Source organism: Homo sapiens, chromosome 8 (genome assembly GCF_000001405.40).
Source record: "Homo sapiens chromosome 8, GRCh38.p14 Primary Assembly".
Taxonomy (NCBI): domain Eukaryota; kingdom Metazoa; phylum Chordata; class Mammalia; order Primates; family Hominidae; genus Homo; species Homo sapiens.
The window spans coordinates 125,922,241-125,938,063 of record NC_000008.11 but is presented as its reverse complement, the minus strand read 5'-3'; the positions used below and the strand labels follow the sequence as shown (position 1 = coordinate 125,938,063).

At 37.1% G+C, this 15,823-nt stretch overlaps 1 long non-coding RNA gene across 1 annotated transcript in view; it reads left to right on the top strand.

Moving 5' to 3' along the window:
* The window catches only part of LINC00861 (long intergenic non-protein coding RNA 861), a 28,675-nt gene extending 13,134 nt beyond the window's left edge, over window positions 1–15,541 (top strand). Inside the window, exons 3-4 of the long non-coding RNA NR_038447.1 lie at window positions 1,731–1,824; window positions 15,517–15,541. This is a non-coding gene — a long non-coding RNA (long intergenic non-protein coding RNA 861). The remainder of the gene's footprint in view (window positions 1–1,730; window positions 1,825–15,516) is intronic.
* The last annotated feature ends 282 nt before the right edge of the window (window positions 15,542–15,823 follow it).

The following is a 15,823-nucleotide window of genomic DNA, read 5'->3' as shown; positions in this document are numbered from 1 at the left end:
TCGTTTTGCAATTAATTACTTCTTCTGGGAAGACTTTGCCTTGTAATTGTAGTATTTATCTCTATGTATTTATTATTTCTGATTGTTTCTGTCTTGTATTCTCTACTCAGAAGCAAAAATTGGATAGAAAAATAGTACTAATCTTGACTATGTATCTCTAGGTATCTAATCTACTCTCCACAAATAGTATTGAGATGAAATAAAATATTTATGTTACTATTAATGGAGCTTAAAATCTATTGAATGCTTGCTGTAAGCCAGGCACTCTGCACAGCCCTTTATACATATCATCTCATTTAATACTCACAGCAATTTTCAGAGGCAAATACTATTATCATCTCTGTTTCATAGATACAGAAATTAAGGCTCAGGGCAGCTGAACAACTTCCCAAAGACCATACATCTAGTAGGTAAAGAAACTGAGCTTATGCTGCACAGAGGAAAAAAGCCTCCCTCCTTGGTTCTCTCCTTGGAGATGGCTAAAGAAGTTGTATTCTCAGCCTGTGATCTTGCTAGCCGAAAGATCACAAACTCTTTGGGTCTCAGCTTCTTTATTTATTGAATAGATACTCTAATGTCCACACTGCTATGCTCATCTATCTGTCCATCATTTATCCATCTTCTAGCATTTAACTTTCACTGTTTTACATTTTGCTTATAAGAGTTACTGATAGCTCTCAAAGAACATAAAGTATGTCACATTCATCTTTATACCTAGAGTTCCTAGGCCACTATTCTAAACACTTTAAATGTATTAAATCATTTATTCCTCATGATACCATGAGAAAGGTATTCTTTTTATCCCCACTTACTTCAGACTTAAGGAGGTTATTTGACACCAGTCACAATTACATTAATGGTGTCAGATAGATTTGAACATAGATATCTGGCTCCAGAGTCCACGCTCTTAATTACCATGCTATACAAGAAAGCAACTTAATTTTCTTCTCAAATCCAGGTGCTGTTTCAGAATAGATTTTCATATGTGTTTTTATCTCGTTTTTCTCTTTACTCTTTAGCTCTTGTTTTTATTCCATGATCTGTATTTATTTTTGTGTAATTAGAGATGTGATTTTTCACTGCATATTACTTTTAAAATCCCAGATATGAAATCTCATGTGGACATTAATTTTAATTTGCCATTGATTTTTTTCTTAGAAGTAACACTGAAAGAGAAAAATTTTCCTCTAATTTTTAAGTTTTATGACCTTAAATGTCACAGGTAGCAAAAATGCCACTTTGGCATAATAACAATTTTGAGTAAAAAAATTGTGAAGAAATAGATAACCCCCCCCCAAAAAAAAAAAAAAAGCTCTCCACCCTCCACCTGTTTTCCTAAAATTAGGAAGTAAATTTGCAAAAGTGCTCCTCTTGACCTCTGTACCAGGAAGGACGACAGTTAATCACCAGAGACAACTGTAGAACCTTGTCATCCTGGAGATGGGACGGTACCAGAAGGATCTGCATAATAAACTTTACCAACTAGACTTCATCTATGACTAGTTTTTCATATATTTGCATTTCCACAATTTACTATCCCTAGAGGTTAAAGGTCCCTTTCCTCTGTCTTGTCACTTCTTTAAAAATTTATTGTTCCTTTGCTATATAAGTCCGAGTTCTAACCAAACCTTTAAGCTACTCATCCCTGAGTTTCTCTCATGTACATAGGAGATATACGCATTAGTAAACTTCTGTTGGTTTTTTGCTCATTAATCTATCTTTTGTTGCAGAGCTTCAACTGAGAATCTAGAAGAGAGTAGATGGAAAAATATTTTTCCCTCCCCTCCAAATGCAAGGATAATCTTACACGAGTCCAGGAGGAAGGTAAGTAACATTAAAGATACAAGAAGATGAATGGCTTCAGATTTTGCCTTTTAGACTTTCAGAAGACAAAGGTTTAGATGAAAATCAACACAAATCTAGGATAAACAAAGCAATTTCAAGGAGTGGTAAGTCCTAGATATGCTAATTTTGGTCTCTGCAGGTCATAGAAAACAGAATTAAGACATAGGGACTGAAAAAGATTGTTACCTAAGTCCTTCACCTTTAAAAATGAGAAGTAATAAATAATTTAAAATTCAAACTAAGTGGAACATAATTTTAAAAAATGAACACTGTGACGAAAAAATCAAGAGCAGTAAAGCATCGGAAAAAAAGAAAAAAGATTGGTCAGCTGAGCTATTCATTGTGAAAACCTTGAGGTACAACCAAAGAATATCCAAAAACATTTCTGCCATCAAAAGATTACCCTTAAGATTAATATTAAGAAATAAAGGAAATGAAGCCTAAAATATAAACAGATTCACTTTTTAATGTGACTTTTATCATTTACTTAAAAATCTGCAGTCAGAAAACATAAAAAGAACATTCACTAACCAGAGCCAAGTGACTACTCTCCCACAAGTTCTTAACACATTACAGTAAATTGTTATAGGCATAACCAACATCACACACACACACACACACACACACGTTGCACACATTCTTCCCAGCATTCTTGCAATTGGTTTGGGATCCATTAGTGAGAGATGTTTTTGTAGCCACACGTTTAACAAATTTAGAAAAGAAAATAGAATAAAATAGCATTTAAGCATATGACCTCAAACTAGGGAAGCAATAATATACATAGTAAAGATGGATGATGATGGATAGATAGGTAAATCATAGATAGATGATAAACAGGTGGATGGATGGATAATAAATAGATGATAGATAGATAGATAGATAGATAGATAGATAGATAGATACATACATACATACATACATACATACATACATAGATTTCAATTAATGTGCATTCAAAAAAAGATTAATCACAATATTCACTCAGAATATTTAACTGTAGAAAGGTGATATTCCAAGGCCATCAACAGGCTAATGCAAGTCTGCAAATGTTTATCTCTGACAAGATGAGTACTGAAATTGAGAGTAAGTCTTTAGAAACTTTTATAGACATTTGGCAAAGAAATTTCATGTCTGTTGAATCTGATGATAAAAAAGAGCTGCATTTTATGCCCTTTTAATAATTTTTGTAGTAATTGATTTTTATTCTATTTTATGAAAGAATCAGCATTAGAAATTTAAAAAAATAAAATTATCCTTTTCCCACAGGTAGTTTGAGAAGCTTTGAATAAAATTATATTTGGTCTTGGGGAAGCTAGGGATTCTTCCTTCTGTTGTGGTTATACAAAACATACATTTTAGGGGCCTATCATTTTATTTTTGCAGGTATTGTAATTGCTTACTGTCAATGTAAGAGAAATTACAGGAGGTGGGTGAGCTGAGAGAAAGGAAAAAATACCTTCCTGTTTAGTAGTTACAAGTTAGAACTGTAGGCAAAGTGTAACATTAGGAAATACAGCTGCTGGTTGACCAGTAGTTTGCCTATTTGTATCAATAGTCCTGAGGTTACTATTATTATTATTTTTAATCTATACAGTTTTTCAAAACTTTGTTATGGACTTCATTCTGTTATTCATAGATATGACAAGATAACTTGTCCCTTTAACTTCTGGGCTAAAGCTACATTTTAGACTAAAGGACAAGAAAAATGTAAGCATCCCTTTTAGGCTTTGGGGAATTAGTGGTATCTGTGACATTAGCCTCACTTTGTTTTGGTGGCACTTTTTATGTGCTGTGGTTTGCTGTCCATGCAGGGCAAAGCTGACCTCCAATGGGATGTATGTAAGCAAAAGGTGCCCAAGAGTATAAAGAACTAAAATCTTTATGCAAAAACAAAAGAAGATGTAAACCTCAAGCGTACCTCCACCCATTTACACTTTTTAGCTCCAAACCACAAAGAGAACAAAAAAATTACTTTCCCAGACTTGTTTTTTTGTCACGTTTTCTGAGAAAAGACATGGTTAACTCTTAAATGCACTGTCCTGGCCGGCCTTACTCTTAGATGTTGATCTTTTCATAAAATTGATAACAGTTGACTGCTCTTAGAGAGAATCTACCTCGCCCCCCAAACCACATCCCTGTTTCTTGGTCCACTGGTCCTATGACCAGCCTTGAACTACAGTACCTATAATGTACAAAATGTCTGCAAATTGCCAGATGTCAAGGCTACTTCACATTTAGACCAAACTTCATGCTAGCAACACATACAGTTTTTTTTTTCTCACCTCTATAACCTCTAAGAAGAAGTTTTTGTAAAATTAGGGCACAGTCCATTTTGCTGCCAGGCAGTTGTCTCTCCAGCATTCCTTCACATGGACTTTGTCTATGGGCGAGAGTATATGGCTAATATGAAATTCAGTGCTGCAGAAAATAGGATAAAAGTAAATCCTGAAACAAATTAAGCTCTTTTTGTTGTAGAATCTAAGGAAACCCCAAGCGTTGCAGTTAAATTCTTAAATACTAGTGACAGCCAGAGTGTGAAATGAATGGATTCCATTTCTGGCAGCAAAAACTGAGTACCTACAAATTAATGCATTAAGAAAGAGATGTTTTTTAAACACACACATACCCCACCCTAAATGTACAAGAACACACACATCAGTGGAGAGGGAAAGCCTCCATGAGACTGAAAAGGCTTTAAAATACCTATATTATTCTAAGTGGCAATCCATGTCAGTGGTGTTATTTCTGAGTCCTGTCATCCCCCATCCACACTCCATCCTAACTTCCACCACTAGATTGAATTATCCTAAAATAGAAACCTTATGATATATCCAATGGTCTAAAACTTCTTCATCCCCCAAACTCCACCCTTGCCATAGCACAGAAAAGGTCAAATTCCAAAGTCATACAAGTGGCCCCATCCATTCTTGATGTAGCTCCACTTACTTTTTAAGAAATTCATAATTAATAAATTTTTGTTGTCATTTATGGCAGTAAGAACATTTACCATAAGACCTGTCCTTTTAACAAATTTGTAAGTGTAAAATATCGTTAACCATAGGCACGATGTTGTACAGCTGATCTCTAGAACATGTTTTTCTTGCATAATTGAAACTTTATGCGTATCGAACAGTAACTCCCCATTTCATCCTCCTCCCAGCCCCTGGAAGCCACCTTTCCACTCTCTACTTCTATGAGATTATTTTAGATATTTGTGTAAGTCAAATCATACTGTATCTTTCCTTCTGTGACTGGTTTATTTCATTAGCAAAATGTCCTTCAGGTTCACCCACGTTGTTGCACTTATTTTTTATATTCATTTTCTGGTCTCCTCAGAGTTGCTCATTTATTGACTTCCAATGTCTATATCATAGGCTCCCCAACCCTGCACTTTTTTATTTGTGTGCCTTTTCATGAAGCTTTTCTACATTTTTGCAATTTAGACTACTTATCCTTTCATCACAGGGCATTTAGTCTTATATGCTGCCATTTATTGAAAGTTTATACTTCATTTTGGCATTTCTCGTTGGCTTTGTTTGTACTGCAATTTACAAGTCTGTGTGTTTCTGTCTAAAGTTTCCGATTAGGTTAAACACATGTCTTACACCACATTTATATCTCTCATAGTATTTAGTGCAGTGTCTTACACGTAGTAATTGTGCAGTAAATACTGTTTAATCGATTGAACGGTTGTAAACTCCTTGAGGGAACATTTTATTTGGTTTACTATCCCCAAAGCCTGGGAAGTACCTGACATATAGTAAATGCTCAGTAAATATTGCGTTGTGTATGAGGAGAAACAGAAAGAGGAAATTAGATGATTCTGCTAAGACCACACATTGCTAAATACAGAGGTCAATTCTCAGTTCTCTTCTTACTTGACCTAAATGCTTTTGATCCAGCTGATAACTTCTTCCTACTAAAAATGTTCCCTTTGCTTGATTTCCAGCACATTCCTTGTCTTGGTTTTTCTCCTATGTCACTGACTGTTTCTTCTCAGTCTAATTTGCTAATTTTTTGTCTCCTCCCAGTTGCTTTATCTGCAAAGTGTTAGGGATCAGTCAGTCTTCTTCTCTTCTCTTAACTACATTCACTCCCTAGGGGATCTCATTAATTCATGACTTTAAAAATCCCACATGTTGCTGACTCCCGTATTTACATCTTCAACCTTGACACCTTCACCAGCTCCAAAGTTATGGTATCCTGTTGCCTACTTGATGTTTCCACTGAGAAGGCCAACAGTGTTTCTAACGAATATACCCCTAGTCTTCTTCCTTGAGCCTGCCTTCCAGCAGTATTCTCCATCTCAGTTCAAAATGGACACATCCTTTTCTAGTATCTCAAACATTATTGGCAATCTCATCTCTTATATCTCAATCTGTGAGGAAACACTGTTGTGCTCTACTTTCAAAATATTTACAGACAGCAACACCTTCTCATCTCCCACCCCTTTACCATTGTTTACCTGAATTGTTACCAAAGTATGCACAGTTTATTCCCCACATGGCAGCCAGAGGGCTCCTTTTAGAATGGAAGTCAGATCATGGCACTCCTCTTTCACAACCCCAGAACAGCTCTCTCTTTCACTCAAAGCAAAACTCAAAGTTATTACAAGAAAATATCCTATTGAACTTCCCAAGTCCTCTCTGACTTCATCTCCTGCTAATTTCCCTCTTGCTCACATTCCTCTAGCTACCATGTTCTCCTTTTTATTTATTTTAGTTATCTATTGCTCCATAACAAGCCACCCAGAATTAAGCAGTTTAAAACAATTTGTTATATTCTCTATTGGGTCTGTGGATTAACTGACTTCAACTGGGCATTTGTGCTTTAAGGCTTCTTGTGTGGTTACAGTCCAATGTCAGCTGAGTCTGAAGTCATCTGAAGGATCCATGGGCTGATGTCCACGGTAGCTTGCTCACTCCAGTGACTGACAGTTGATGCTGAGAGCTGAGCTGGGATTGTGGACAAGAGCACCTACATGCCTCTGGCCATGGCCTTTCCACATGCCTTGGGCTTCTTATAGCATAGCAGCTATGGCATTCAGTGTTCTGAGGGTCAGAGTCCCAAGAGCAAGTGTTATAGGAGGCAGGAAGTAGAAATTGCCAAGCCAGTTAAAGACTATGCTTGGAACTGGCCCATCAACACTTCTACCATATTCTACTGGTTAAAGCAGTTACCAGTCCTGCCAGGATTTGAGGGCATGGAGTAATAAACTCCACTTGCTCATGGTAACATGGCAAGGTCACATTGCAAAGGAGCATGTGGGATAGAAGATATTATCAGGGAAGTCTCTGGAAAATCCTATTCTTCAAACACAACAGCTGCACTCTTACCTCAGTGCTTGCAGTAGCTTTTCCCTCTGCCTAAAATGCTTTTCTCTTGATATCAGCATGTTTTGCTTCCTCACAGCTTTCTAGACTTTGCTCTCTCACTTACTTCAACTCTGCTATTATGTCACCTTCTCAATGAGCTCTTCCTGGACCACTCTACTGAATATGACACATAAACAGTCTCCTTGGTGATCAAGGGCTCACCATTGCCCATTAACGTTGGCTTGACCAAACTTCAGCCAGACTTCTCCCCTCCCTACAGGCCCCTACATTTTGACTTGCCCTCAAGTTTAAATAAGCACTAAGCACCTCAGGTGCAGAATATCCTCCTCAACACTCATTCCGAGAATCAGCCGACCACAAAGAAAAACATTTCTCTGCTGAAGCAACCTGATTTTGCCACCTTCTTACCCTGCCCTCTTGCCTTTTGCCCCTACAAACTTCCCTGTCAGTTTTACCTCTCCCTCTCTCCAAAAGATATGTCCTCTTCTGTTTGACTTTGAGACACTTGAGATTTCTGAGATGGAAGCATTCTCCCTGCTGTTTAACTAAAGTTTCCATTTACCTAAGTCTGCATTCATTTTGATTGAACACCTAGCACTCTCAATATTGTTTATCCTAAACCCGTTTTTCACATTACACAATACCTTTTACATACTAAATGTCATCTCTATTTAACTTCAACTATTTATTATGTTTATTGTCTCTAGCCCTCCATTAGGATATAAACTGCCTGACAGCAGGATGCCTTTCTGTTTCATCTGTTGAATTCCCATCACCTACTACAAACATGATAAGTGCTCAAAAAGCCTTTGTGAATTTAATGGATAAATTTACTCTTACCTGTGATGTGATATGAGCAGGTTTTGTCTAATACATAGATACAGAATAAAGAAATATTCGCTACTGGTTCTGCCAGGATCTCATTCTCCACTCCAGTTAACTGAATCTCTGACATGTTCCTTGAGCTTGTTTCAAATTCTTGTTTCAAGCATCTAACTCCTATAAAACTGTCCTGTTTTTCTTTGCCCTTCCTAACTTCTTTTCCTCTCTGCCCTTCAACTCAGCTCAGATACTGGGGCTTCATGATTTGTGGACAGTTGTCCCTGATGCAGTTAACCCACAGGCTTTTCAATCATTTCCTCTGAGTAGATCCCTGTGCACTTCTGTTAAACTCAGATCCCAGCTGTACCAGCCACCTGTCTAGCCCTTCCCTATCAGATCCCAGGTATACCAGCCATCTGTCCACCCCAGCTTTCCCTCCTTCCTTGGGCAGGTACCATTCCTGTTTCTGACACCTCCAGTCATCCATGTCCTACTTTAGTGAACAAAGTGCCTTATAACCACATCCTAGACAAAAGAAAAGAAGTATCATTGCTTTATGATCATGCATAGATAATATTTGTGGAGTGAATTTGTGTCAGAAAGATCTGGAGGCACAGTGGTTTTACATTCTAAGTTATTCCCCTATTCCAAGGACTTTGGCAAAGGAAGGGGAAAGAATCAAAAGTTTTATGATAATCATAATGAGTTTCAGGTCATGACCACATAATTCACCTTGTTATTACACACTGCTGATCCTTTAAGTAAAATACCAGAGCCCCAGTAAAACAAATGAGATACCAATGCCTGAGGATTTCACCCAAGCATCACTAATTAAGGGTTATCTTCTAATGCATTCAAGCTACACAAGTCTCTTGAGTTTGCATAATTGAGCTGGAAATCAGTTGAAGGAAATTTATGGGATTTTTAGCCCAGGAGGGAAAGCAAGAAAGTTGGAAAACTCAAAACCATGGGGAAACAAAACAAAAACACACAAAAAAAACTTCCTTCACATTGAAAAATGAAGGTTTTGTTTCTGACTCTTTTTTTTTTATGTAAGAAAAGTCTTACACTATCTTTTATATCCTCTTTGTCTTGTTTTCCAATTTTTAGACCTCCAAATGAGGTAGAGGGTGAAAGAAAGAGCATTAGAATCCAAGTCAGAAGTCTTGGGTTATACCTTCCCCCTACTCAATAACTGAGTCTCATATATGAAATATAAATAAAAATTACTGTATCTACTCCATGGAGTAATAATGTGGATTAAACAAGAGGACGAATTGAAAATACAACAAGTCCTCGATGTCATCCACAGGTTCTTGAAAACTGTGACTTTAAGTGAAAGGATTTATAACAAAATAGGTTCATTGATACAAACAAACTTCCTACAGCATATTTTTGGTCACAGAAACATCACCAAACTTCTAAAAAAAAAACCAAAGCACTTCTAATGGTAAACACTGAAACAAATGTGAGTGTGCTGTCTCTCTCTCTTTCTCTCATATATATTTTTATATATATAAAATGTATATGAAAAATCTTTCATATATAATATTTCATATATATGAAAAATCTTTCATATATATAGTCTTTCAAATAAGATTATTTACCCCATTATTTCAGTTCAGGGTCTTGGGTGGTTGGAGCCTATCCCAGCACTTATGACCTGGACATAGAAGTCCATGGTGGCCTGCAACCTTGTTTGGAATTAGAATATGGAGCTGAACCCATTGTTGGCATCAAGGGAAGCTTGGACAGCCTTGCGAGTGAGGAGGCAACAATGAAAGTGGAAAGTTGGGGCTCTAGAAAGCATGAGGCTCTCTATTGTATCCAGAATACAGAAATATAAAAAGCTATTACAACTTAACAACAAAAAGGCAAACAACTCATTTATAAAATGAGCAAAGGACTTGAATAGACATAGCTCCAAAGAAGGTATACAAATAACCAATAAGCACATGAAAAGATGAGCAAAGAGAGCAGAGGGATGAGATGTTATGAATTAAATAGGTTGGAGATATGACGGTAACTTAGACAGCATGGCCAGTTGTATTTCAAAGAACAAAGAGCCTTTTAAACCTTTGCGTAGAAACACAATCATAGGGTTTAAGCAGCAAGGGTTTTTTTCTTTGTATAATAAGTATACAAAGGTTATACAATTGACAACACAGTCTCTATAAAAAGCTTTTTTAGCCACTCCAATCTCAGTTTCTTCTATGAACTGTCCACATTATTTGCCCAACCATTTATTTTTTACAAAATTTCCTTAATTTTTTCCAGTTAAAAAATTTGAGTTGTCATTTAATTTTCATGTAATTTTGCCTGACCTTTATCTATGTTTTAAGCAACTTGAGCACTGGAAATCTTTATTTTGTATCCTCCAGAGTATGAAGTATGATTCTTTTCCCTAAAATAGTAGCATTTGTGATTTTAAATTCTATCCCCTGGATGAATCAATACAAGTGAGTAGAAGATAGAATAATACCTCATCTACCAGAATTCACTGCGCTAGCAGTCTTATCTATTAGAAATATATGAAAGAATCAATAAGTAAGAAAAAAAAGCTTTCAAATAACCAAAATAAATGTTACTAAATCATGTTTGCCATCTTAAATGAGTATTAAATAAGTAAAGGCAAAACCTAAGATGATTACATCTAGGAATTATTTTACAATATGAGACAGGAATTAAGTGTAGCATCAATAACCTTTGACCAAGTGAAACAGGCTTTTTTTAGAGAGCATAAACTTGTATTATTTTTTCATCCAAACCCAAGCAGCCTAACCCCCTCTTCTTGCCATGAAGAGAAGCCATTCTTAGATAACAAAGAGCTTAAGCAAAGTAATTTTGCAGAGTATACTTTGAAGGAGGAAAAAAAAATCCTTCAAATTTCAGCATTTGTATGGATGAATGCAATAGGCAATAGAAACATAAATAGCTTTTTTAAAAGTGCAATAAATGAAAGCTGTTCATAATTGGTGTTCTATAAGGAATTACAAACAAAGAATTTGGGAAGTCTCTGGAGTTACACTTCCCACACAGATACAAGGTAGTGACTTATCTGAAACAGAATTATTTGGCACACCTGGCATGGGCAAGCATGAACCACAGAAGAGATTCAGCAAAATGTGTAAAATCAGACATGAGTTAGTAAGAACATCTAAGCAAGCACAAGACAGCAATATTACCCAGAATACATTACTAAAGGACTCACTGTCACCTGAGTGGGCTGAGATGGGAGGCATCGACCTGTTATAGCCTTATCAGGATATCATTTTACTGTGAGAAGATAACATTGTGCTTAAGCAAACCAATTAGTAAGTCATTCAGAGTTGATCTTATGTATTAAATTAGTCATTTGTAACTAGTTCTTTATGTTACCTTTAAAAAGCATCAAGTAAAAAGCACTATTCAGATATTGTTAGAAAGAGGTTTTATATAGCAATTGCAGGTACAACTTAGTTGCTCGAAATGATGGAAGCTCACAAATGGAGAAAAAGATGATTTAATAATTTTTTTCTTCAAAATGCATAAACATAAATAAATCACAATTAGAAATGCAAAGAAAAGTTAAATTAAAAACCTAAAAAGATGGCCCTGGTAAAAACAAAATAAGCACATTTTGAAAATTAAAAAACATGTATTTTAAAACCTAAACTTCCAGAACCCACCTTGTTATGTCAATATTAGCAACTTAAATAAGATTAAATTAAAAAGTAATATTTTGGGTTTGACTGCAACAGAGTATGGGTGTTACCTAGACTGTTCTTCCTCCCTTCACAAAGGTAAACAACTATGAAACGGAACAAAATAGGTGAAGCATTTTTTGGAGGAGGACTATAATGCTAGCAAAAAAGCAAACATGTGGTGAGCTCAATGTTTTCCCAACCTTCTGCCGTAGGGAACTTTCAGTGATCTGCATGTCACAAGGAGATGGAGACCAAGGAGAGCACAGCAGTGTTGCTGAGCTGGGATGGCAGAGATTAAAGTTGAGGGCTGTGAATGCAAACTGGAATTTGCACAGCAAATTAACAAAGAGAAGGGTACTATTCAGACAAGAGTCCTCAGAATGCTGTATGGGGAAATCTGAGTGGATCCTTGGTCCGAAGCTGGGCTGTACATATATAGAGCCAATCTCTTCCAGAGCTCACAGGAAATACCACAGTGCTTACCAACTGTATTTCTGAGTACAAAGGAAATACATTAGAATTCAACAACTAAAAACATAAAATACACAAATATTTAGAAATTAAACAACACACTTCCAAATAGCACATAGGTTGAAAAAGAAATCACAAAGGACATTAAAGTATTTGAAACAATCATAGTAAAAACACAGCAAATAAAAAAATTATTCATAACTAAGGCAGTGCTAGAGGAAATTTTACAACTTTATAAAAATAAAAGACTAAGAGTGGTTCATGTTTCCACCTTCAAAGGTTGAAAAAAGAAATGCAAAGTAAACCCAAAGTAAATAGAAGGAAGAAAATAATCAATATGAAAAACTACATCAATAAAATAGTATACAAACATTTTAGAAAGTAAGAAAGCCAAAAGCAGAATTTTTAAAAGAACACCAAATATTTCCAGAGCTCATCTTATGCACCATGCTTTCTGCCATGTGTTGATTACACAGATTAAGATAATGCAGTCCGTCTACTCCTGTCCCCAAGTTCACCATATTTGAGCTTTCAGTCATGTATTTCACAAAATGATTTCAACATAATACATCTGAGAGTTCATCTCTCCAGCAGTGCCTAGAACACAGTAGAAGCTCAATAAATATATGTTGAATGGATGAATGAACTTTTTCCTTTAACACATGGAGAGGGCCACAGAGAGGAAGGGACTTTCCCTAAGGTCACCAATGTCTTACTTGGTGCAGCCTGGATTCTGTCCTCCATACCAGACAACATTCTCTGCCTTGGCCAGCTCAGACTTTAGTCTCAACTCTCTTATGCCATTAGAGAACCTTAATAACTAGTTCTGTGTTTAAATTGCCTGGCACCCATCTTGGAAAGGCATTTCATTAGCATTCCTGTTTGTGTAATGCCAGCTTGCCAGCCAAGGAGCCCACTGAGAGATGAGCCAGGGGAGAGTGAGTGAGCACACAGACTCACATTGGAACTTGCAACTCCACTTAGCACAGGGGAGCTGAGCTGTATTGACTCACACCAGCAAAAGCCACCTTTCTCAAGCTCTCTCACCTCCCCAACATTGTTCCTGTTGCCTGATTGCACCTGGAGAATCAAATTTTCTTGGGGCACAGCCCAAGTATAATTGAGACAACAGGACTATTTCCTACTAGTGGAGAACTAAGCCTTTGCAATGGAAAATACAGAGGGAAGAAACAACCAATATTGTCATAAACCAACACATAAGACACACTCAAATTTTAGCAACTCAGATTAGAAGGGAGGCAGAAACAGCTACAGCTACTGGGGGAAATGGGAGGATGCCTAGGAAGGAAGTGGTTATAGGGGCTGGCACTTGAAAAGGCATAGTATGTCCCATCTCCAAAAGAATAAAAATAATAGAAATTACTTATATAGCATACACTATATGTCAGGAACTATTATAAACACTTTGTAAAATAAATATAAATTATTTAATCTTCACAGCAACCATACAACATAAATAATGTAATATCCCCCACTTTACAGATGGCAAAACTAAGTCAGAGATGGGTTAAGTAAGTTGCTTAAATTCACAGAGCAAATAAGTGGTAGAATCCAGGCAGTCTTGTTCCAAAGTCGATGCTTTTACTGATCCCTCAACCCCATACTACATGAAGAATTGATTTTACTGTGAACATGGGCTCCTAATTAGATAAGTAGACCAGCTCTGGAATTCTCCTCCAGAGGTCAAAAACTTACAAAATAGCAAGCACTCTGCAGCTCAAGCCTTGCAGACAGCTAAGCAATGATAAGACCAGTTGTGTCTACTCCTTCCTTCTCCATTCATTCGCTATTAGTCATTTGACCCATTGGAGTTTGTAGATATGAACTGAGTTTGTACTCTGAAGAAATGGCAAACAGTTTTTTGAAAGTGAATCACAAATTTTGATTTGCCAACTACTATAATCTAGTTTCACAGAGCGTGGAGACTATCTGGGATTCAGAGAGGGCAAGCAAATGTTTAGATAGTAGCTGTCTATGAGTAGATAACATGATCTGTGCCAGCCATGCTACACTGTCCCTGCTTTTATGGAGATTCCGGTCTAAAAGGAAAGACCAGTATTAATTACCTAATCCATTAGTGAATGCTACCTGCAAAACAAGTGAGGGGCTCTGACGGAAAGGAAGACAGGTCAATATCAGGGACTCATAATGGAAGCTGAGCTGGCCCTGGGGCAGCAGAAGGGCTTGCCTTGAGAAACAGGTGCTTGGGTTGAGAGCAGAAAGATGAAAAGCCTTTTTTTTAGGTGGCACAAGAGAGATGAGAAGAGAATTCTAGGCAGAATATACAGCACTTGCAAAGGCAAGAGAGAACAGGCAAGAAGCCTCCTGGTATGGCCAGCCCCAAGGCAGGGAGCAGGGTATGAAATGGGTTGAGGCTGGAGTGGGAAGGAGAGGCAGGCCATACAGCAACTGACACATTCACGATCTCTGTACAAAGAGCACTTGGGAGCCGTGGAAGGACATAGGCAGAACAGTGGCATGAAGCAAGAAACACCCAATGCATCCAATAAGTGACTAGACTAATACTCAAACTCAGATCCTTTGCCCTTCTTCCCCCCAGTCTCCATCCTCACTGCATTTTATCAGCCCAGGAAGTTTAGCCAGTAGAGGTCCTCACCAAGCCACACAAATCACAGAGCCTCAGGGTTGCCAGGGACTTGGCTATCTTGCAGACACATCCACTAGCTAAGCACTCCCATGTCCTCTCTGAATCTCAGCCCATTTCCAGTCTGTTTGAAACTAGATATCTGGACTCAGCATATGCTTAATAGCTGGGTCATCTCTAGCAAATTAAATCACTTCTATAAGCCTCCCTTTCTACACCTGCACTATGGGAGTGCTAATGTCAATTGACTATTAAGATAATGAAGGTGATGTTTTCAGCACCATATCCAATCTTTAGTAGATGCCCAAAGAGTGATGATTTAATCTGAATTCAGCCATTCATCTTGAGCTATATCTTTCTCCCAACTCAGCTGTGACAGTTCCAAGACATCATCCTGTGTATCAGACAGATCTTATCATTAAGTCCAGTAGTCCACTAAATAATTATGCATGTTATAGCAGCCCATAGTTAAGGCAGAAATAAAAAATAATAATAAACTTACCCACAGTGGAGAAAGGAGGAAGTGAAGAAATCTCATCTTTCTGGTATAATTTTCCATTGTTTTATTCCTTGAAAAATAGCCAGTATAATTTTGCATGGTGCTCAAAAAATGAAAGTCAACTCACCAAAAGACAATGAGTTCAATATTTCTGTTGAAAATAAACATTTGAAAAACAGTATCTATTTATATTTATGTATATTTATTCATCTATTCAATTTATAATTTCAGGCTCATTCCACACTAAGTGTTCTGAATCAAAAAGATGAACAAAATACAGTGCCATTCTTCAAGGACTTCACAGTCTACAGGAAAGGGATATAGTTAAACAAATAACTGCAGAATTGGAAATTGGAGCTGATGTGCTTAGAAGTGTTTTGAACAAGGGGCATGACTGTGACTCTCTCTGCTTTTGCAAGCTTCAGGAAAACCTTTACTCACAGGTGAGTTCCACCTGAGGTTAATTTGAAGCTTGTGTTCTGAATTTGCCAACTAAGATAAGAAGGAAACATATTGATAGCAAGAAGAATAGCCTGTG